At 37.6% G+C, this 23,406-nt stretch overlaps 1 protein-coding gene and 1 pseudogene across 5 annotated transcripts in view, besides 1 other annotated feature; one reads left to right on the forward strand and one right to left on the reverse strand.

Annotated features, from left to right (window-relative positions):
• The window catches only part of SLC24A2 (solute carrier family 24 member 2), an 800,438-nt gene that overhangs the window by 186,257 nt on the left and 590,775 nt on the right, over positions 1-23,406 (reverse strand). The gene's annotated exons all lie outside the window — the stretch shown is intronic.
• Positions 5,089-5,775: an enhancer, noted in NCBI's record as "OCT4-NANOG hESC enhancer chr9:19698798-19699484 (GRCh37/hg19 assembly coordinates)". NCBI's record gives its function as "activates a minimal SCP1, AML or CMV promoter by ChIP-STARR-seq in primed H9 embryonic stem cells {active_cell/tissue: H9 hESC(primed)}" and the evidence as "EXISTENCE:reporter gene assay evidence [ECO:0000049][PMID:30033119]".
• On the forward strand, positions 11,627-11,944 carry C11orf98P1 (C11orf98 pseudogene 1; annotated as a pseudogene).

Raw genomic sequence — 23,406 nt, forward strand, 5'->3', positions numbered from 1 at the left:
TCTCATGTACAGAAGACAGTGTTGGGAAAAGATGAGTTTGATTTTTATAAAGGTGATTTCCGAGGCACTCTTTATTTATTTATTTATTTTTTAAAAATAACTTCTTCCCTTTCTTCTTTCCTTTCTTTTTCTTTCTTTTTACCTGTCTTTGTTCATTAACTAGAATTAAATTAAGTTTTTGGTTATTTCCCACAAGCAAGATAAATATCTAAAAAACAGATAGGTTGGGGGAGGAAAAATGGTCAATAGAAACTTTCTTAGAAGATGAAAATGTATGTTAAATCCTCTTCAAATTATAATTTTCAAATTCTCACTGCTAAGACAAAATTAATTAGTTCAACTAAAACAGAGTTGCCAATTAAAACATGGTTAACTAGGATTCTCTAAAAAAAAAAATCCCAAATCTTACACTGTTCATTCTAAATAAACATGCTTTTAAAGATTAGGAAAATAATTACCTATTTGCACAGGAAAATAATAAATGATGAAATCTCAACAGATAGGGTAAAGATATCATAATATTATCTTAGCAATTGGCTCAATCACTTCCCACTCAGTTTAAACGCTTTAATAAAAGGTATTTTATACAAGGAAAGTCCTAAATCAAGGTTATTACAGATTACATTTATGTAAGTATTTGTTCTCTCACTAATGGAAGATTTCCTCTCTAATATTTTTTCTAAATAATTTGTTAACCGGAGAAGAGGAAAACAAAATATTTTTTTCTAAAATTCTATCGAGGACTTATAATTTATTTTACTTTTATTCTCTGATAAAGAAAAGGCTACAGGGAAACTAGCAGGCGAAAGACTTTCTAAATGTAAATGCTGCCCAAAGAAAAAAAGAACTGTGATTAGATTATTAGGTATAATATGCATCAAGGGTTAAAATTCATATACGGAGAAATGCATGTCAATTGCACATATTTTAAAATTCACTTTAGGAATTTATCATAAAGAGTTCAGATATGCACAAAGATAAACTTCATGGCAATATTAGTTACAGAGGTAAAAGAATACAAATCCTTGTTTCCCACAGCATTCAGGCAAGTGAGACTACCCTATGGAGACAGGAGGCTGAGCATCTGCAGAATTTAAACTAGGAGGCTTGGACTCAGAGATACCAAACACAGCCAAGGGCAAGCATGGCATACAGAGTGAAAATGGAGGAACTGTGCAAATTGCTGTACTAGGCCCCTCATCAAGTTGATTTCCCTGTTTTTTTCTTTTTCCTCCGGCAAAGATGGGAGCTGGGGAGAAGCAAATGACCCCAGAGAGAAGGCCGTTGGGGATTTAAATTTGGGGCAAATAAAAAGGCCGGCCAGCCATATATTTATCCTAGAGCAGCAGTTCTAACTGGAATGGGGCGGGGGTGGGCTTCCCCAGGGGTTAGAGACATTTTTGATTTCCATAACTGGAGGGGCATGGTGCTACTGGCATCTAGTGGGTAGAGGCTAGGGAAGCTGCTAAACATCCTATAATGCAAAGAACAACAAAACAGCCCTCACAACAATGAATTATCCAGCCCCAAATGTCAGTAGTGCCACTGTAAAGAAACCCTGTAATAGAGTGAAGCCCACAGTTCACACCTGTCCCATGCCTCCATTACTCACACAGGACTTCCAAAGGCTCTTTTGGGCTTTGGAATATGATTGGCTTGCCTTTTACCAGACACTTGAGGAAAGCCCTCACAATGAAAGTCAAGACAAAAACCCACAAACATCAACCAAACAACTGAATAAGAAAAAAAGTATTGGAGAAAACAGAAATCATTAAAAATCTTAAGAAGAAAAACTGTAATTGATACAACCCAATCTGAAATATAATTTGGCAATATCTAGCAAACTTGAAGCTAAACCCACGTGAAACCCAGCAATTCTGCTTGTAGGGATTTGTCTCAGAGAAATTCTTGTACATGTCACTAGGAGAGATGCACAGATTATTCATAGCAGCATTGCTTGTTAGTAGCAAAAAAAAAAAAAAAAAAAAAAAACCTAGAAAAAATCTAATCATTCACCAAATGAGAATGGATAGATTAATTATAGACTATTCATATAATTTGAATGCCAAAATCACTTAAAATGAATGACTTAGAGCTAAGTATCTCAATACAGATACACTTCATAAATATAATATTGACTTAAGGAAAGCAAATTACAGGGGACCACATTCATTAAGATACTATACAAAGTTAACAAGCTTTGAATAAATACATGCAACAACTTTACTATATCTACTTTAAGGCAGGGGTCCCCAGTCCCTGGGCTGTGGACCAGTACCAGTCTGTGGCCTGTTAAGAACCAGGCTGCACAGCAGGAGGTGGGCAAAGGGTGAGTGAGCATTACTGCCTGAGCTTTGTCTCCTGTCAGATCAGTGGTGGCATTAGATTCTCACAGGAGCAGGAACCCTATTGTGAACTGTGCATGTGAGGGATCTAGGTTGTGTATTCCTTATGAGAATCTAATGCCTGATGATCTGAGGTGGAACAGTTTCATCGCAAAACCATCCTCACCACACCCCTAAGCCCCAACCTCGGTCTGTGGAAAAACTGTCTTCCACGAAACTGGTCCCTGGTGCCAAAAAGGTTGGGACCATTGCTTTAAGGATTCATACTCGTCTACCAAATCTATAAGGCAATACATTTTAGCTATCCTCCAGACTCAACATGGGAAAAACAGGGAAATCAACTTGATGAGGGGCCTAGTACAGCCATTTGCACAGCTCCTCCATTTTCACTCTGTACGCCATGCTTGTCCTTGGCTGTGTTTGGTATCCCTGAGTCTGGGAGGTTGGCAGGAAGGAAAGTAACTGGGATGTGTATTCAGAGAACTTTGAGTATGTGATGTTTTATTTCTTAAGCTGCATTTTGGGTCTACTGGTGTTTGCTATATTATTCTATATCTTTTGTATGTTTTAAGTTACATTAAATAAAACCTATTTTTAATATCATCCGAAAGATAAAAGAAAATATTGCATCCAGGAAAAAGCAATGTCTCATTCATGAAGCAGGAATTTAACTCCACAAACATAGCACTTCTAAGAAAATCTAATGTGTAGTAAAGCTATTACATGTTTTAAAATATAAAATTAAAATGTATGGGCTTTCTTTAAAACATTTGTAATTTAATTTCAAATATATAATTTAAATTTAACCGTAATGGCATCATTTTAGAATTGAGTTTTTCTTTTCTAATAACCAGGTATATAAGGTAACTTTGTCATGTACCTGGTTTGAAAATGTTATAATAGATCCCAATACATCATATGCCATGTCGAGCTATTTTCTTTTAAGTGTTCTTAATACTAAGCATTGGGGTAAATTTTTAATTGCTAAAAAGTGTAACTGATTATATTTGAAATATTTAGCAGTTATGATCCACAATAACAATTCTAGGAAATTAAAAAAATAACATGTTAGTCAATGTTTTAATTAATATATTAAGAACCTACACAAGTGATTGCATCAATGGCTATTGAAATTGAAATAATGACTTCTGAAATTATTTTAAAAATATCTTTTTCTAAGAACATATGGACACATGGTGGGGAACAACACACACTGGGGCCTGCCGGGGGTGCAGCGGGAGGGAGAGCATCAGGAAGAATAGCTAGTGGATGCTGGACTTAATATTCAGGTGATGGGTTGATCTGTGCAGCAAATCACCATGGCACATGCTTACCTACGAAACAAACCTGCACATTCGGCATATGTACCCCAGAATTTAAAATAAAAGTTGAAGAGAAAAAAATCTTTTCCTTGGCACTATTTTGTTCTAACCAGAGAACTAATTTAGGAATTGAGAAAAGCATAAAAAGTATCTGTTCTTTTTAATTGCATAAATAAGTGATACAAAAAAAGTTCTGAGTGAGTTCTATAAGTAAATATTTTAATTTCCTTACACTGGCTTAGCTAAAATTATCATTTTGTCATTTTAGAAATATTGTATTATTATACCAAGTAGTGAAACATTTAAAAATATACATTTAGCAGGTTAAAATAATCATGTTCATCTTTTAAAGAAAAAGATCCTCAAAGAAGACACAATTCATACTTTCCATTTTTCATTGACATCATTAAGTACTCATTTAAATTAGTTTCGGAAACTGAAATAACTTTACATTTTTTTGATATGGTGGCAAAGTTCACCTGAAAAAACAATTTCTAATTTAATCATTCCTTCATACATGGTATGTTCCCTCTAAAAGTGACAACTCTATACTTCTAATATATGTAAATATATATTAAGACCATGGCCAATAACAAAACAAAACAAAAATGAACAAAAATGTTTTAATATGGAAACATTTTTATGAAATTAAATTTCCCTGGCTAGTTATTGAAATTTATCTTATTTAAATGATTTAAGTTTATTCTAGCAAGTGCTTCTAAGGTGGAGATGCTAATACAGGTTGAGCATCCCTAATCTGAAAACCCAAAATCTGAAATGCTCCAAAATCCAAAACGTTTTGAGCACGGACATGATGCCATAGATGAAAAATTCCACACCTGACCTCATGTGACAGTTCTCAGTCAAATTGCAGCCAAAACTTTGTTTTATACAAAAAATTAACAAAAATATTGTATAAAATCACCTTCAGACTATGTGTATATGAAACATAAATAAACTTGATGTTGAGACTTGGGGTCTAATCCCCAAGACCTATCATTATATATGTATATGTAGATATTTCAAAGTCCAAACAAAAAAATCTGCAATCCAAAACACTTCTGGTTCCAAGCATTTTGGATAAGGGACCGTCAATCTGTATAGCTGTGTCTACAAAAATAAAATGGTAACCAAGAAGAACTCTAAAATTAGATTTGTAAAATCTCCTTCAGCTCTAATATTTCATTTACTCATCCCTTCATCTTTAATGACTTCAGTCATTCATTTGTTCGCTCCTTTTAGAGACTTCCTATGTGCCATGCAGTGTGCACTCTGGGGATATAAAGAGAAACAAAAGAAATTTGCTTTAGCTATAGTACATCAGTATGAAAGGTGGGAAGGGATCACAAATCCAAATATCAAATACACACAGAGTTCACTCTCTGTATTGCAGAAGGAAAGGAATCCTGCCTAGGTGACATGGACCCACCCATAGAGACCTTTTGTATGGGAATTGTACCACTGCTCTAGCACTTTGCTCACAAAGTATGGCATATCACACTTCCATTCATTTATAGTGGAAGACATGGAGGCACAGAGAGGTGAGAGAACTTGTCGAAAGTCACAGAGCAAGTTAGAAGGCCAAAATCAGAATATATGGTCTATTGTAATATTTTCAACAAATGTATTGAAAACTTGGCAAGTGTCTGGCTTAGAACCAGGAATGGGGACTACAAAGATGAATAAGATGGAATTCCTGCCTAGAGGTGCTTATGTTCTGGTGCTGGCAGTTCCCAGACTCGGGGGTTCTGGCAATTACTGTAACAGCTGATTATCTTGGTACCTACTGCTGGGTCTCTGAGTACTGTGTTAGCATATAAACAAACGTGGAACTGCATGGGGACAAGAACGGCTGGCAAAGTAAACATGGGAAAACATATTCAGTGTGGCTGTAATCTGTAAAATGCAAATTCAAAGAAGAATTTGTTTCTACCTATCCATCTTGCAAAAGTCTTAAAAACACTCAAAATGGAGAAATTGCCCCTCTCATCCACTGCTGTTGGAAATAAAAATTTTGTGTTTAGATACCAAAGTTGCAGCATTATGTACAGGCTTATAACCAGGAACAATTATGTTCAACAGTAAGTGAATAATGTTTCACTAAATTACGGTTACATTCATGCAATATTATGATACATGAGGCAGTTTCTTAAGATTACTTAATGACCTGGGAAAATATTCATCATCCAATGTTAATTAGAAAACCAGCATATTAAACTATATATGACATGCATTTTCTAAAAATACTTTTCTAAAAATACAGTATGGATGCATATCTGTATCATAAACACTGGAAAGAAATGTATCAAATTAATACTTGTGATTATTTCTGGGGGGTGGTATTACAGATGATTTTTATTTTTCTCCTTTGTATGTTTTCCAAATTTTCTGCAAGGAGATTCCATTATTTAATAATTTAGAAAAAATAAAAGTAAGTCTTAAATTTTTTTTTCTGACTAGATGATTCTCTGAAATAAACTAACTGCTCCTGACTGGTTTCAGGACACCAATGACTCAGCCCCTTCTGGTTAGGACACACGGGTGCACTAGAGAGGTCCTGAGACCTGAGCTCCATGACCCAGATTTGTTTTGCTGCTTACTGGCTGTGTCTTTCTGGGCAAAAGAGTCCCGAGCCTCTGTAATTGTATTTGTAAAATGTGGCAATTGACGTCTGCCTCACAGATGAAGTTTAAAGACAGTATAAGAAAAATGCTTTGAAAAGTACTATATAAATGCAAGCTATGTCTCACCTGAGACATAGATAAGACAGAGAACACACTCAAATCCCAAATGACCAACTTCTTGGTTTTATGACATCACTTAAATGACAGAACCTCTTTGAGCCTTAGCCTCACAATTTGTCAAGTAGAGATATTACTGGCTTCTTCAGAAGGTGGATGTGAACTAAACACCTTTTGCAGGACTCAGTAAATGTTAGCTTTCTTCCTTTCTTAGGCTCTGTCTTTCCCCACTCCACTCTTACTCTGAAACAAGGATTTAAAAAAATGCTCTGGCATCAGCACTTTCTATTCTAATTTTAAAGCATATTATTTACTTTGTTTTTTTGATATGTTAAAAATGTATGGATTCTTTTTCCTTTCTCCACCCTTTTACGATGTGGACAAACAGCAAACACAAAGTAAGCAGAACTTGGGAAAATCAATGTGAGGACTGTGGACAAATTTTATGGGGTCATTTGAGCCTGAAGTTTTCCACAGAAAGCTCTGAAACTCTAAGCACTTTCCTTTAGGGCAGGCAGAGTAGGAAGGGTAAGAACGTCCTTGCTTTGGTAGGCTGAAATTATTTCAGCAATTAGATCTCCCTAGATTCTGGATTTATCTAAATATACCTGTGACATTCTGTAAATGTGCAGAACTCAGAACTTCTCAGGCCTGGTTTCTGTAGTGTCAACTGACAACCACATGCTTTGAAATTTTGTTTCCTTTAATTAACCTTCTCCATTTTCAAATCAATTTTCTCACTTCCTCATGGTGTTACTGCTATTCTAAGAAATGCAGACCTAACGGATCAACATTTCAAGACTCCAAAGGTTCGTATGCCAAGCCTGGAACTTTGTACACAAATAGATATCCAAGAATACTCGCTGTTCATTCTGTATACCCAAACTTAAAAATTCAAGAGCTAAGATTAAAGTATCAGAGGATTGAGTCCTAATTTACTATTTGAAATCTGGTCTACCTTGTATAAGAATCTTTTCTTGTGGGAATGTTGAAGATTTTTGAGAAAGAGAACAACCCACTGAAGGCCCTCCCTGTTTAGGGAAGATTAACCTGTTAGGTGCTAGTAGATTGATCGAAGGGGATGATCTGCATGTACCATGACTGTGAAGACAGATTAAAAAGGAAGAGGCAGATAAAAGACATATTGTAGCGGAATCCGCTAGTGCCCAGTCCATTTTTCCAGAGTCTTAGCACTTCACTGTGTTCTGGCTGATTTCTAACTGCCAGCGTCTACCCACCTTTAGTTGAGTGCTAAGGAATTCATACCCCCATGCCAAGCAGCACTTAGTCCACAACCGGTAGGAGTTGATACATAAACAGTCCAGCTCCCCCGCACTTTGGGTGGAAGAACTCTGAGCTGTGTTGTATTAGTTTCCTACTGTTGCTGTAAAAAAATTACCAAAAACTAAAGAGGCCTAAGGAAACATGAATTTATTACTGAACAGTTCTGGAGGCCGTAAGTTTGAAATAGACCTTACTGGGCTAAAATAAAGACGCAGGTTTGAAGACAGTACACTATTGCTTTGCAGGATGCTGACCAATCTTCTGGCACAAGTAGACCCAAACTGTGGTCAGCTTATTCTTTGAAGGAGCCTTCTTGAATTCCTCTTCTCTTTATAATCAAAACCGAGACAGGAGAATGTGCTGGTGAAAATTCCTCCACACTATGCTGAAATCAATCATATCAGGCCTCATCTTAATCCCACTTAATTTAACTGAATCCTGCCATTTGATCTAATCCATCTAATTTAATCCCACTTTGGCACAATCCAAATCTAGAATACTTGAGTCAAATCATCTAATACTCCAAGACTAGCAGTAGCCTACCGTGGATGGAAAACGATAACAAAGTTACAAGGTACATAGAGTCAGAATCTCTTGTTTTTCATTCTGGCTATAAAAAAACCACATGATCTTAGACTAATCACTTAATCTCTCTCTGACCGATTTTATTTCTTCATGTAAAGACAGAATTAATAAAACTCCTTTTTTGAGAGATTTCAGAGTGAAATGGAAAACTGTGAACTTGCTTTGAGTTCTAATACAATAGCACTAATCATGATGATTTGAAGGACAGTAAACCTTTTGTTTTTCCCATGAATGCAGGTTTTAGTCAAATGCCAGCATTCTCTGTACACTTGGTGCTCCTAAAACGTTTATTGTTTTTCATAATGAAGAATAATGTCTTATGCAAAGCAATCTATTCACAAACCTTCTCCCAGTTGGAACTGATATATGTTGAGCCATCTCAGTTATTCTGATAAAGCCCCTCACTACATTTGTATCTAACTTCATCACAAACAAATGATCTCGATACACTTTGGGGTTCTGCAAGATTTAACAACCCATGGTGACTTGTCGCATAACAGAAAACTTGACTTTTTGCTCTATTTTAAATTACATTTGAGTATTTTTTATTGAGAATCTATTAAAACTAGGGCTCCCAGAACTGGTCTTTCAGTAGTTTACATAATAATAGCTACAATAACAACTGATGTCTGCGTCTTGCATTATAGTTGGCAGTGGCTTCCTATAGTTAGATGTTGCCCAAACTTCAGTCATTTTTATAACATCAGCATGATATTTTGCCATATTTTCTTAATTTACGTGGTACTAACTACCAAGTGTTTTATCTTGAGTTACCTTTTAAAATTTAAATGTTTATTTAAAAAGTGAACTTCATATCACTACCATACCTAGAAAACAAATATTGCTTGCCATAAATAGAAAATAAATAAATTCATTGATTTAGGCATGCCATAAAGTATACATATAGCAAAACATCATGTTGTGCACCATAAATATATACATTTATATTTGCAAATAAAAAATAATAATTTTTAAAAAGAAAGTAAATAAATGCAATGCAATGAAAACAAAACAATATTGTTCAGTTCCTTTCTATACTGTTGTTGGGTAAAAGTTCCTGAGCTTGAGATACATTCTTTTGTGTTTGTGTGTGTAAGTGTGTGTACTAGAGAGAAAGAGAGAGAGAGATACTCGCATATCTTATATCAAATTTAGATACAAACTCTACATTGAGACTTTTGGTGAATTATTTACAATTTTTGGAAATGACATGATGGATTAGAATCTTAGTAAGCAGTGCAGATACTGTATCCATTTTACAGATGATAAAGCTAGGGCTCAGAGAGATTACATGACTTATTTCTTCAATACTCAGTAAATGGCAGAGCTGGGCTTCAAACACGAGCCCTTTCATTCCAAATCCTGTGCTTTCTCTATTGCACTCAAACCTTCTTGGAGTGAGAGGGGTTGCAGAGGGCTTAGATGAAGCACACTAAAGATCCATTCCCTCTGTCATTCATAATCCAGTCAAGGAGATGAGAGGGACCAAAGTCATATATTTAAGTTGTATCAAGAGAAAGTAGGAAAGTATGTTTTGACATAATTGGCCCAAAGAACAATGGTGAAAATATTTAGCAAGTGAGCTCACTGTAAGTTGGACTATTAGGGAAGACTTTCTGGAAGAAGCAAGATTAAAACTCTTGTGTTGAAGGGTGGATAAAATTAGATGAATTGAAGATAGAGGTGAAACCATTTCAAGTGATAACAGTGCTTTGATCAGAATAATCAAAAATATCAAAGCTCTGTCTTGGTTCACTGCAGATAGGGGAAAATGCACATATATGACAGGAAGTACTATGGCTACATTTTATAGTCTTATGTGCTATGAAGTATGTAATCATAGCACATAAGAATGAATCACTATTTTGTAATCCTTAAAAATAAATTATTTCCTTCAAAATATGTATGACTCAGCAAACTATCTACAGGACTTTTTCTCCTAAGGAAATAATGATGGATATATGCTAATATTTGTAAGAATGTGTCTCATCCTAGCAGGGCAATTGGAAATAACTCCAGTGTTTGATCATATAGGGCTTAGTTATATAAAATCAACTGCATCAATACTGGGGACCCTGTGCAATCTCCAAAAAAGATTTCAACCTTTGCTACTAAAACGTGATCTGTGGACCAATATTTTCACCTATACCTGGAACTTGTTAAGATTCAGTTTCTGATGTAGTAGGTCTGGGGGAGCGCCTGAGATTATGCATTTCCAACAAGTTCTCCAGTGATTCGCACATGCATTAACATTTGAGAAGCAGAGGCACATGATTAATGACATGGAAAGATATTTGCAATTAAATGAAATAGGGTGATTTCATAATTAGTTCCATATGATACTATATTGGTAAATTTTAAAAAATATGCATACATTCACACATAAGAGAAGGAAATAGGGAAAGAGAGAGAGAGAGTGTGTGTATGTGCAAGACAGACAGATGGGAAGAATACATATTAAAATACCAACAGTGGTGGAATTACTGGAAATTATTTAAATTTTTTTCCTGTGTTTGTGTATTTGCATCTATTATGAACATGCCTCTTTCAAAATATAAATAATAAAACTATATTTTCAATTCCTTTTCTGTTTTCAGAATTTTACTGAGTTCTTTCTGGAAAAATAAACAGGAACCAAGAGGCTGAACTGGAAGAAAACAACTCACAACTCACAGGGATTTAATCAATGTAACAAGAAACTGTCAGAAGAGAGAAAGACTTAAAAGATAAGAATTTTCCACTAAGTGTGAAGGAGGTCTGTGTAACCTTCATGTCCCTAGTGCTCTTGGAATTTATTTTAAAAACCAAACTTTTTTTTTTTTTTTTTTTAAGTAAGGCTATAAAGCTCCAGGAGCATAGACATTTTCAAAACTGCCAACTGGGAAAGTACTTTCAGGATGAAACAGATCGGTTTCCCTTAACAAGTATTTCTAGTGGTATTACTCTGAGTTCTGGTTGGGAATATTCCAGCAATGTCACTTAGAAGTTGAAAGAGGACCCAGCTGCTTTGTCAGAATGATTCTTTGCCTGCCTTCTCCCTTGGAAAATTTACCTTAATCTTTATTCATTTCTGTGAGTTGTCCCCATTTGGGTGATCCCTTTGTTCTCAGCATATGATGGTAAGAAAAGGATTCAGATTCCAGCTTCACTATTTCTTTGCTGCTGGGATATTTAGGCAATGGAAGTAAGTTAAGATGATTAAATGACATAATGCAAATAATGATTAAATGACATAATGCAAATAAGACATTTATTATAAAGGAAATACTTAAAAAGTTGACTGATTGGGAACTGGCATTGTGGCGTGACTATGAGGACTCTCTGGGGAAAGATCAACTGGTCCCAAACAGAACTGAAGAAGAAGCTGTTCAACCACCTGTGGGTATTGAACTGGGAGTGGTGTCTGAGGTACTGGGTGGTTGGGGCTGTGATAGACCAGGGGCTGCTCATGCAGCACCACCTCAAGAAGTGGGCATCCAGTGCATGTACCAACATTACTCTGTCCAGGAAGAAGCACAGAAAACTTCTCCAGCAGATCCAGCTTGCCCAGAAAGAGAAGGCAGCCATGGAAGTGGAAGCCCCCCAAAACTAGCCAGGACTAGTGAGCCACAGCTCAAAAGGCAAAAGAGGACAAAAGCCCCCTAGGATGAAGAAATGAAGGACCTTTGAACATCTTTATTTCTGCCTTCATTTCGTTATGTACCCAGTAGTCATTCAGGAGCAGGTTGTTCAGTTTCCATGTAGTTGAGCGGTTTTGAATGAGTTTCTTAATCCTGAGTTCTAGTTTGATTGCCCTGTGGTCTGAGAGACAGTTTGTTATAATTTCTGTTCTTTTACATTTGCTGAGGAGAGCTTTACTTCCAACTATGTGGTCAATTTTGGAATAGGTGTGGTGTGGTGCTGAAAAGAATGTATATTCTGTTGATTTGGGGTGGAGAGTTCTGTAGATGTCTATTAGGTCTGCTTGGTGCAGAGCTGAGTTCAATTCCTGGGTATCCTTGTTAACTTTCTGTCTCGTTGATCTGTCTAATGTTGACAGTGGGGTGTTAAAGTCTCCCATTATTATTGTGTGGGAGTCCAAGTCTCTTTGTAGGTCACTAAGGACTTGCTTTATGAATCTGGGTGCTCCTGTATTGGGTGCATATATATTTAGGATAGTTAGCTCTTCTTGTTGAATTGATCCCTTTACCATTATGTAATGGCCTTCTTTGTCTCTTTTGATCTTTGTTGGTTTAAAGTCTGTTTTATCAGAGACTAGGATTGCAACCCCTGCCTTTTTTTGTTTTCCATTTGCTTGGTAGATCTTTCTCCATCCTTTTATATTGAGCCTATGTGTGTCTCTGCATGTGAGATGGGTTTCCTGAACACAGCACACTGATGGGTCTTGAATCTTTTTTTTTTTTTTTTTTGAGACGGAGTTTCGCTCTGTCGCCCATGCTGGAGTGCAGTGGCGCGATCTCGACTCACTGCAAGCTCCGCCTCCCGGGTTCACGCCATTCTCCTGCCTCAGCCTCCCGTGTAGCTGGGACTACAGGCACGCGCCACCATGCCCGGCTAATTTTTGTATTTTTAGTAGAGACGGGGTTTCACCGTGTTAGCCAGGATGGTCTCGATCTCCTGACCTCGTGATCCGCTCGTCTCGGCCTCCCAAAGTGCTGGGATTACAGGCGTGAGCCACCGCGCCCGGCCGGGTCTTGATTCTTTATCCAATTTGCCAAGGAGAACAAAGACACAACATACCAGAACCTCTGGGACACATTCAAAGCAGTGTGTAGAGGGAAATTTATAGCAATAAATGCCCACAAGAGAAAGCAGGAAAGATCCAAAATTGACACCCTAACATCACAATTAAAAGAACTAGAAAAGCAAGAGCAAACACATTCAAAAGCTAGCGGAAGGCAAGAAATAACTAAAATCAGAGCAGAACTGAAGGAAATAGAGACACAAAAAACCCTTCAAAAAATTAATGAATCCAGGAGCTGGTTTTTTGAAAGGATCAACAAAATTGATAGACCGCTAGCAAGACTAATAAAGAAGAAAAGAGAGAAGAATCAAATAGACGCAATAAAAAATGACAAAGGGGATATCACCACCGATCCCACAGAAATACAAACTACCATCAGAGAATACTACAAACACCTCTATGCAAATAAACTAGAAAATCTAGAAGAAATGGATAAATTCCTCGACACATACACCCTCCCAAGACTAAACCAGGAAGAAGTTGAATCTCTGAATAGACCAATAACAGGCTCTGAAATTGTGGCAATAATCAATAGCTTACGAACCAAAAAAAGTCCAGGACCAGATGGATTCACAGCCGAATTCTACCAGAGGTACAAGGAGGAGCTGGTACCATTCCTTCTGAAACTATTCCAATCAATAGAAAAAGAGGGAATCCTCCCTAACTCATTTTATTAGGCCAGCATCATCCTGATACCAAAGCCTGGCAGAGACACAACCAAAAAAGAATTTTAGACCAGTATCCTTGATGAACGTTGATGCAAAAATCCTCAATAAAATACTGGCAAACCAAATCCAGCAGCACATCAAAAAGCTTATCCACCATGATCAAGTGGGCTTCATCCCTGGGATGCAAGACTGGTTCAACATACGAAAATCAATAAATGTAATCCAGCATATAAACAGAACCAAAGACAAAAACCACATGATTATCTCAATAGATGCAGAAAAGGCCTTTGACAAAATTCAACAACCCTTCATGCTTAAAACTCTCAATAAATTAGGTATTGATGGGATGTATCTCAAAATAATAAGAGCTATCTATGACAAACCCACAGCCAATATCATACTGAATGGGCAAAAACTGGAAGCATTCCCTTTGAAAGCTGGCACAAGACAGGGATGCCCTCTCTCACCACTCCTATTCAACATAGTGTTGGAAGTTCTGGCCAGGGCAATTAGGCAGGAGAAGGAAATAAAGGGTATTCAATTAGGAAAAGAGGAAGTCAAATTGTCCCTGTTTGCAGATGACATGACTGTGTATCTATAAAACCCCATTGTCTCAGCCCTAAATCTCCTTAAGCTGATAAGCAAATTCAGCAAAGTCACAGGATAGAAAATCAATGTGCAAAAATCACAAGCATTCTTATATACCAATAACAGACAAACAGAGAGCCAAATCATGAGTGAACTCCCATTCACCATTGCTTCAAAGAGAATGAAATACCTAGGAATCCAACTTACAGGGGATGTGAAGGACCTCTTCAAGCAGAACTACAAACCACTGCTCAAGGAAATAAAAGAGGATACAAACAAATGGAAGAACATTCCATGCTCATGGGTAGGAAGAATCAATATCGTGAAAATGGCCATACTGCCCAAGGTAATTTATAGATTCAATGCCATCCCCATCAAGCTACCAATGACTTTCTTCACAGAATTGGAAAAAACTACTTTAAAGTTCATATGGAACCAAAAAAGAGCCTGCATCACCAAGTCAACCCCAAGTCAAAAGAACAAAGCTGGAGCCATCACGCTACCTGACTTCAAACTATACTGCAAGGCTACAGTAACCAAAACAGCATGGTACTGGTACCAAAACAGAGATATAGACCAATGGAACAGAACAGAGCCCTTAGAAATAATGCCACATATCTACAACCATCTGATTTTTGACAAACCTGACAAAAACAAGCAATGGGGAAAGGATTCCCTATTTAATAAATGGTGCTGGGAAAACTGGCTAGCCATATGGAGAAAGCTGAAACTGGATCCCTTCCTTACATCTTATACAAAAATTAATTCAAGATGGATTAAAGACTTACATGTTAGACCTAAAACCATAAAAACCCTAGAAGAAAACCTAGGCAATAACATTCAGGACATAGGCATGGGCAAGGACTGCATGTCTAAAACACCAAAAGCAATGGCAACAAAAGCCAAAATTGACAAATGGGATCTAATTAAACTAAAGAGCTTCTGCACAGCAAAAGAAACTACCATCATAGTGAATGGCAACCTACAAAATGGGAGAAAATTTTCGCAACCTACTCATCTGACAAAGGGCTAATATCCAGAATCTACAATGAACTCAAACAAATTTACAAGAAAAAAACAAACAACCCATCAAAAAGGGGGCGAAGGATATGAACAGACACTTCTCAAAAGAAGACATTTATGCAGCCAAAAAACACATGAAAAAATGCTCATCATCACTGGCCATCAGAGAAATGCAAATCAAAACCACAATGAGATACCATCTCACACCAGTTAGAATGGCAATCATTAAAAAGTCAGGAAACAACAGGTGCTGGAGAGGATGTGGAGAAATAGGAACACTTTCACACTGTTGGTGGGACTGTAAACTAGTTCAACTATTGTGGAAGTCAGTGTGGCAATTCCTTGGGGATCTAGAACAAGAAATACCATTTGACCCAGCCATCCCATTACTGGGTATATACCCAAAGGATTATAAATCATGCCGTTATAAAGACACATGCACACGTATGTTTATTGCGGCACTATTCACAATAGCAAAGACTTGGAACCAACCCAAATGTCCAACAACGATAGACTGGATTAAGAAAATGTGGCACATATACACCATGGAATACTATGCAGCCATAAAAAATGAAGAGTTCATGTCCTTTGTAGGGACATGGATGAAACTGGACACCATCATTCTCAGCAAACTATCGCAAGGACAAAAAACCAAACACCGCATGTTCTCACTCATAGGTGCTGAACAATGAGAACACATGGACACAGGAAGGGGAAATCACACTCTGGGGACTGTTGTGGTGTGGGGGGTGGGGGGAGGGATAGCATTAGGAGATATACCTAATGCTAAATGAGGAGTTAATGGGTGCAGCACAACAACATGGCACATGTATACATATGTAACTAACCTGCACATTGTGCACATGTACCCTAAAGCTTAAAGTATAATAATAATAAAATAAAATAAAAAAAGAAATGAAGGACCTTGAAGATGAGAGCTAAACCTCTTCCTCTAGAAGATTCTCAACTGGATCCAGAAGGACTCAGTGGTTGTTTCAGAGGACTTTGGCAAAAGCAGTGCCCCTTTTCACTCACCAGATTTCCTCCTCCCTAATCCTCCTGTGGAAGGATGTCTTTGGGAGAGAAGAGGGTACAGAAGAAAGATTGGAGAGGGGCCTCTTTACAAGTCAACTCCATTTGTAATAAAGCCCTAGCACTCTGAAAAAATTTTTTTGACTGATTAATTCATCATTCAACAACTGTGTACCATGTGACCATCATCTGCCCCTATGGGTAGAGGATGCAAATGATCCCAGACATGTTTCCTTACCTCAAGATGCTTTCAGGTAAGGGGACATAACCAAGGAAAACACAATTACCTGCAGTGTCACAAGTGCCATGACAAGGAGAGGGCCCGGTATCACAGGGGCAAATAAGAGGAGTACTAGCCCTATCAGGGGGGTGGTGGCGGTAAAGAAGTCTTCCTCACTGAAGTGACATCTACATTGAGATATAATGGACCAGTAGGTCTCGGCCAGGAATAGCTGAGAAGTTCCAGACAGTGGGAATAACACATTTACAGGTTCAAATATGAGAAAGAACACAAATGTTCAGGTGCTCAACAAACTAAAAGTGCTAGGATATGAGTCTGGGGAGGAAGGTGGGGGCAGTAGAAAGAAGGAAAATGATATGAGGGATCTGTAGAGCCTGGTCATGAATGGGCCTTGTCAGCCATGCGGAGGAAGTTTCACTTCATCCAAAAGGCTGTGGGAAAGATCAGGGTCAAATATGGTCTCATGGGGGTTTTAGGCAGATCGCTCTGGCCACAGGTCGAGAAAGACTAGAGACAAGCCAGGAGGACTGCAAATCAGCCAGCTAGGAGGGTGCTGCAGGAACACAGGGACAAATGATCCTACCCTCAAGCCAGTGAAATGGATGACTATACATGAAATGAGATTGGTGATTAACTGGAAGTTGGGAGATGATGGAACAGACTCAGAGAATGTACTTAATAAATGCCTATTTTCTTTTCTTCTCCATAGAGATCTATTGGCCACTTCAGGCCAAGGAAAGATTAACCCAGTAGTAGCAGAAAAAATATTTTCTAGAAGCAAAATAACTGTGTGCTTAGCAGTTCTGTAAGTAAGGTCTGGGAATTCTTGAGGGTCACTGCATTTCTATTTGAGGGGTCTGTGAGGTCAAAACTATTTTCATAACAATTCTAAGATGCTGTTTGCCTTTTTTGCTTTTATTCTTTCACAAACATGCAGTGGATTCTTCCAGAGGCTACATGATGTGTGATAATGCAATTGCTCTGACGGCTAAAGTTGTATGTGCTTGGATTTTCTTGAGCTTTAAATTAGTCCCAGTTTTAATTTCAAATATAGTAAATACAGAAAGATACAGTCCTCATGACAAAAGCTCTTTGGGGTCCTCAATAATGCTTAAGAGTGTAAAAGAAACCTGAAGCCACAAAATTTGACAACCAATGCCATAAACATTTAAAGAACATTTTAAAGGCATCCACTACCAAAAGCTTAAAAAAATTATGAGTGAGGATAAACTCTACTGATTGAGGAGCCTAATTCTTATCTTAGTTTTGTTGTCCTTTCAAATCTGAGCCATTGCTGGCTTGATATAAAGATAATGCCTAGGATTTCATTTCTAGAAGAACACATCCAACTAACAAAATCAAAGCACATACCATACAATGTACTAAGTAGAAATATGAAATCCATGTCCGCAATTCTGAATATACTTTCTTCTTTAAACTTATTTTTAAAGTTGGAAAACAGAGTCACTGAGTAATACTCATACCTTAGAACAAAATCTCTGTTGTGTAGGCAGAAAAGCAAAATAGAAGCGATAATGTGGGCAAGTGGAAAATAACACAGTGAGGAGAAATGATACAAACTAGACTCAGAACCAGAGCTCTAAACGCAAGTTGCCAACCCAAAAGGACTTCAGGATCCCCTATGAACCATTATTTCAAAAAACAAGGGCAGTTGGCTAGCCAATCAAGCATAAATCTGGTAGTCATCCACACATCATTTGGAGAGGCCTGGAGACAATGGAGGACAGTTTTCTGTGCCCCTGAACAATACCAAAGTGGCTGCCCTTCCAAGATGTCAGTAGGTGTCTCAGCACAAAAAGTCTGGGGAAGGTCAGGATAAGAGCAATACAGAAAACGGCTCCAGAGACTGAGGTCAGTCAGTTCCACGTTTAGGACGAGGATTCCATATGGCTGTTAGGAATGTGATGTGGCTAGTACACTGGAGGAACTGAATGCTTAATTTTATTTCATTTTCACTAACATAAATTCAAAGAGCCATGAGTCTAGTAATGACCACACTCGAGAACTCTATTCCAGAACTTTAGTGAAATGATCTTTGCAACCTGTGGAGAGCCAACTATAAGATCTCCCATCATGGTGCAAGATGGGTTTGAATGTACTTTTCAGGTAAACACATATGTGAAATCCTTGTTTCCCACCAAAACCCATTCAGCTGCCTAGGACATCTGCCAGCAAAGCCAGCTAGTTCTCCTTGGGGAGTTTGGAATAGGAGCTTAGTAAAGAGGGAAGCAGAGCAGACAAATGAGAGGCAGGAGTCTTGCCTGTTACCCTATGTGACCTGGCCCTGAGCTATCTTCCAAATTCTTTTCCTGATCTGTAGCTGCTTGTCACTGTGCTCCAGCGACACACACCCTCTAGTTCTTCCTAGAATATACCAAGCAAGTTCCCATCTCATGGCCTGTTGTGTTTATTTACTTTCTTCTTATCCTGGAATGCTCTTTCTCTGGATCAGGGTTTCTTAACTTCAGTGCTAGTGACATTTTAAGCTGGATAATTCTTTGCTACAGGGACCTGCCCTCTGCAGCATAGGGTGTTTAGCAGCATCCTTGTTCTCTATCCACCAGATGCCAGTACCATACTTACCCCAGTTGTGACAATTAAAAACTTCTCCAGACACCAAATGTCCCTGGAGAGGCAAAGTCACCCTGGTTGAGAATCACTGCCCTAGATATCTGCATGATTCACTTTCTCACTTAATTTAGTTCTGTACTCAGATGTCACCTCCAGGGAATCTTTTTCAAAACCCTACACCTCTCTGTCCCCTTTCCCTGTTTTATTTTTCTTCCCAGTATTTATCACTAGCTAACATCATATCAGATACTTCTTTGTTTCTTGTTTCTTTGCCTGCTTTATTTACTGCTGTATGCTAGCACCTAGTATCTAGTTGATTGGTAGATGCTTTATAAATATTTATTGCATGAATGAAGGAAGGAAGTACCTGCGCCATTTGTAAAGTCAAAAGAGAGACAGGAAGTTTGCATTCTGGGAGAATGGACACATGTCACAAGCAGAAAAGCTGTAAGTCAATTTAGCTATTAAAATCTGTATTGGTTGTTATATAACAATGATAAGGCTTTAGCACATTTTCTAATAATGGGCATACTTTTACTGACCTTCTCTAAAATTATGCTTTGAATGCGAAAATAAATTATAATTTTAAATGTATTTGTCAACCACTTTTATGAATAGTATGCAAGTTTGAGACCTAAAATTGCGGTCATTTCATATCATCAAGAATCTATGTTCTTACCTGATTTTAACATTGATGTCTATTTGCCTTTGAGCAAAAGACCTTTTGATAATGAGAAGAAGTCCTGATGAAAGGCCTGCATTTTCCTTCATAGTTATAAATTGAAAATGTGTTTCCAAGAGGTTTTTATTAGCATTACTGAGTGTAAGCCTATCAATTCAGTAACTCCAGCCCTAGGAAATTTAATCATGTGCTGAAGTCCTTACTTACTGGTAAGATTGAGATTTTTTTTTCCCCCCGATGATTTGTTATAATCTTTCTGAATTCCTCAAGAATACTAGATGAATTTATAAGATGCTGACTTTCTTCTGGAAGAACTGTAAATATTCAAAAGAAATTACAAGCACCAAGTAAATTGCACATTTTGGAGACTAAGGGAAGAAAATCCCCAAACTGTTGGTAGATGGTCAGAGTATTCTCCTACAACCTGGATCTAGCCAATTATTAAATGAAGTTCCATAATACCTCAGTTCCTAAAAATCTCCGGGGACTAAGAACTTCTGGATATATTAACTAGAATTTTTAAAAGTTAAGTAAATCTACTTTCACATTTTCAAGGTTTTTACTGATGAAAGTCTTTCTACAACAACACACACTGCTATCCTTTTTAATAATAGAAAATCTGGAACTCTGCGTGTGTGTGTGACCTATGGCCACCCTTTTGTGAAGCTGTGCATATGCACAAACAAGGGTGGGTGCAAGTCTCAGAATTAGGACCCCAAAGGTGGCCCTACAAGTTGATTCCTCTTCCAGATGGGGTGCAGCACTCGCAGAACCATAAAGGCAGCATCCCAAGCCTGCCTTGTAAAAAAACTGACTGCTGAATCAAAAACCAAGAGCAGCCCTTCCCTTTCAGGGTTATCTTGATTCTTTAAAATAAAACAAAATAAAATAAAATAAAATAAATCGCCATCTTTACTTCTGTTTCTAGAGTCTCGTCAACTTTTCAGTAGTCCTCTAAACCTTGTTTGTGATTTGTACAGTCAGCCATTTTGGCAACCCACATCACTTACCTTTTCCCTTCACTATTTGTATGGAGGAGAAGCATTCCTTATGAGTCATTTGAGTATTAAAAAATTTTTTTTGCGTATATCTATTTAAGATATACAACATGATGTTATGAAATACATATATAGAGTAAAATGGTCATTACAGTGAAACAAATTAAGATATCTATCATGTCACAGTTATCCATTTTTCCCCTCTGTGGCAAGGGCAGCTATAATCTACTCATTTAGCAAGTATCCTGAATACAGTATGCTCTTATTAACTATAGTCTTTATGTCGTACATTAGATCTTTAGACATGTTTGCCCTACATATCTGCTACTTTGTAGAGTAGAGGATTAACAGTGGTTCTCAGGGGTGGGGTGGAGAGGAAGCAAATGGAGAGATGTAAGTCAAATGATACAAAGTAATCCAAGAATTTATGTGAGAAGAAGTGGGAAAAGTCTATTTCTAAGGTGCCTCAACCTTTCCCCCTAACTCCATCCTTACCACCACCACCACCACCAAACACCGTAATAATAATAATAATAATCAGGAAATTAACACTTCTAAACACCTGATGCCAGACTACATTGTTTTTGAAGTATTTCCCAATGTCAAGCTTTGAACAGAATTATAGATACCTACAAAATACATTTTCATGAACAAGTTTGAGTGTTTTGTATAGTATTTGCAAGGAATATCAGAGTCCTCTTGTATTTTCTTTTATAATATTTTGCTTTCTGAAAAATATCTCAGTTGATACACTGACAGGCAGAAAGATGATCAAAGATATTAACCCTGCCCCTTCAAGATTAGAGTCATAATTGCCTAGCTGGAGAGGGACCGAGTATCCTCAAGTAGGACTCAGGTTTGAAATAATATTTCCCTGAAGGTACAAAAAAATGATGGAACCCCTTGGGAAGTATTCCACATCCATCTGTGTATTAGCTTGTTCTTTGGAATCAACATTATGGCTCCTCAGATACCTCTGTGCTAAGGATTTTTTTCTGAAAGTCGAAAGTTTTATTTTTCTACAAGACCACTCCCTGTAGGCACAGTCAACCTGTCCTCATTGTGTTTGAACCCAGGTACAGTCCACAAATAAGCTGGCAAATGTGACCAAGGCACACCATTACATGCTCCTCAGAGGGCTGGAGGGTACTTATAAATGCATTCTCTTGAAGAAAGAAGCAATTGGCAATTTTTATACAGCTGCATTATATGCTGATTATGTACAAAGCCTAAAACCAGGCAAAGTACCTAGCAGAAAATACCCATGCATTATTCAACTAATACAAATCTGTTGTTTTTCTAATTTGCTCTTCCAAACATGTCTTTTCAAGTTCTTTTGAGTTGCAGTTGTTTTGAAGTGGGGGAGAAGAAAAGTTTTCTCTCTTTTCAGGGACAAAAACTCAAATAAAAGAGGTACCCCCATTCAGCTAATCATGGCAGCTTTAACAATATATGGGCAAAATATACAACTTACAAAATTAGAGGCTTTATGAAGAGCCTCCCTTTATAACCAAGTTATTTTAGAACAGAGAAAGATAAATAATCTACTTATCAGGCTAGGTTTTCCAGGCTTTCCCATTCCAAGTCACTCTATGTTTTCTTTCCTTCTTTTTCTATTTCTCCCTTTTGCCTTTCCTAATCCATATCGCAAGATACCATGTGCAACACGCTCACCCCTATTTAACTGCACCTGTTCACAGTATTCTACAGTCAAAAGCTCTACTTTTGCAGCAACTTTTTATTGATGAATGCATTTTATCCTGATTACATGACAATGATGATGGCTTATTCATTATTTCATTCAGCATACTTATTGTGGGCTTACTATGTGCCAGGAATTGTGTGGGTCCCAATGATAGATAGAACAGGGTTCCTAGCTTCATGGAGCTCCCATTCACTGGTTAACTACATGTATGAAGGCTTTCAGTAAATTTTGTTTGCAGTGACATTCTCCTGTGATCCCAGGGGAGATCTGATTTATCCTCACATCAAATATGACTCTCCTGAACAACACGGTGGTGTTCTTTTAGGGCTGATGTCTTATATTTGCCTTTAGGCCAATCATATCTTAAGAGACTGCTGAGACCTAGAATAGCTTTTTGATAAGCCCCTTTGCCTACCTCCCCTATCTGACCCTTTCTTTCTTACAGGCTCTTGGTGTTTACAGTTTATAGCCACTATCATCATCCCCATTCCCATAGTCTCTTTTCCTTTCCTATTCTTCTGTTGTTTGCCACATGTTTTCTGCTTTTTTATCTTTCTTTTGTCTTGGCCATATCTGAATGCTTTCAGTCTGGTCCATCAATGGCACTACTATAATCTCTGAGTTTCCAGGTCTTCTTAGTTACTATTGTTATTTTTGTATGCTCAAAGGCTGGGTAAAATATTCTTTACAACACACATTCATTGGTTCCACCACTGCTCCTTTCTCCCCCATCAAACATAGTTCAGTGCTATTCCAGATGTTTGAAGCTGTTTGTGATCTGATATCTGAGTTCTGGATAATGAACTACTGCAGCTCACTTTGCCAGAGACAGTGAGAGTTCTTCCCGACATATGAG

The sequence above is a fragment of the Homo sapiens genome, chromosome 9, assembly GCF_000001405.40.
Source record: "Homo sapiens chromosome 9, GRCh38.p14 Primary Assembly".
Classification (NCBI taxonomy): Eukaryota; Metazoa; Chordata; class Mammalia; order Primates; family Hominidae; genus Homo; species Homo sapiens.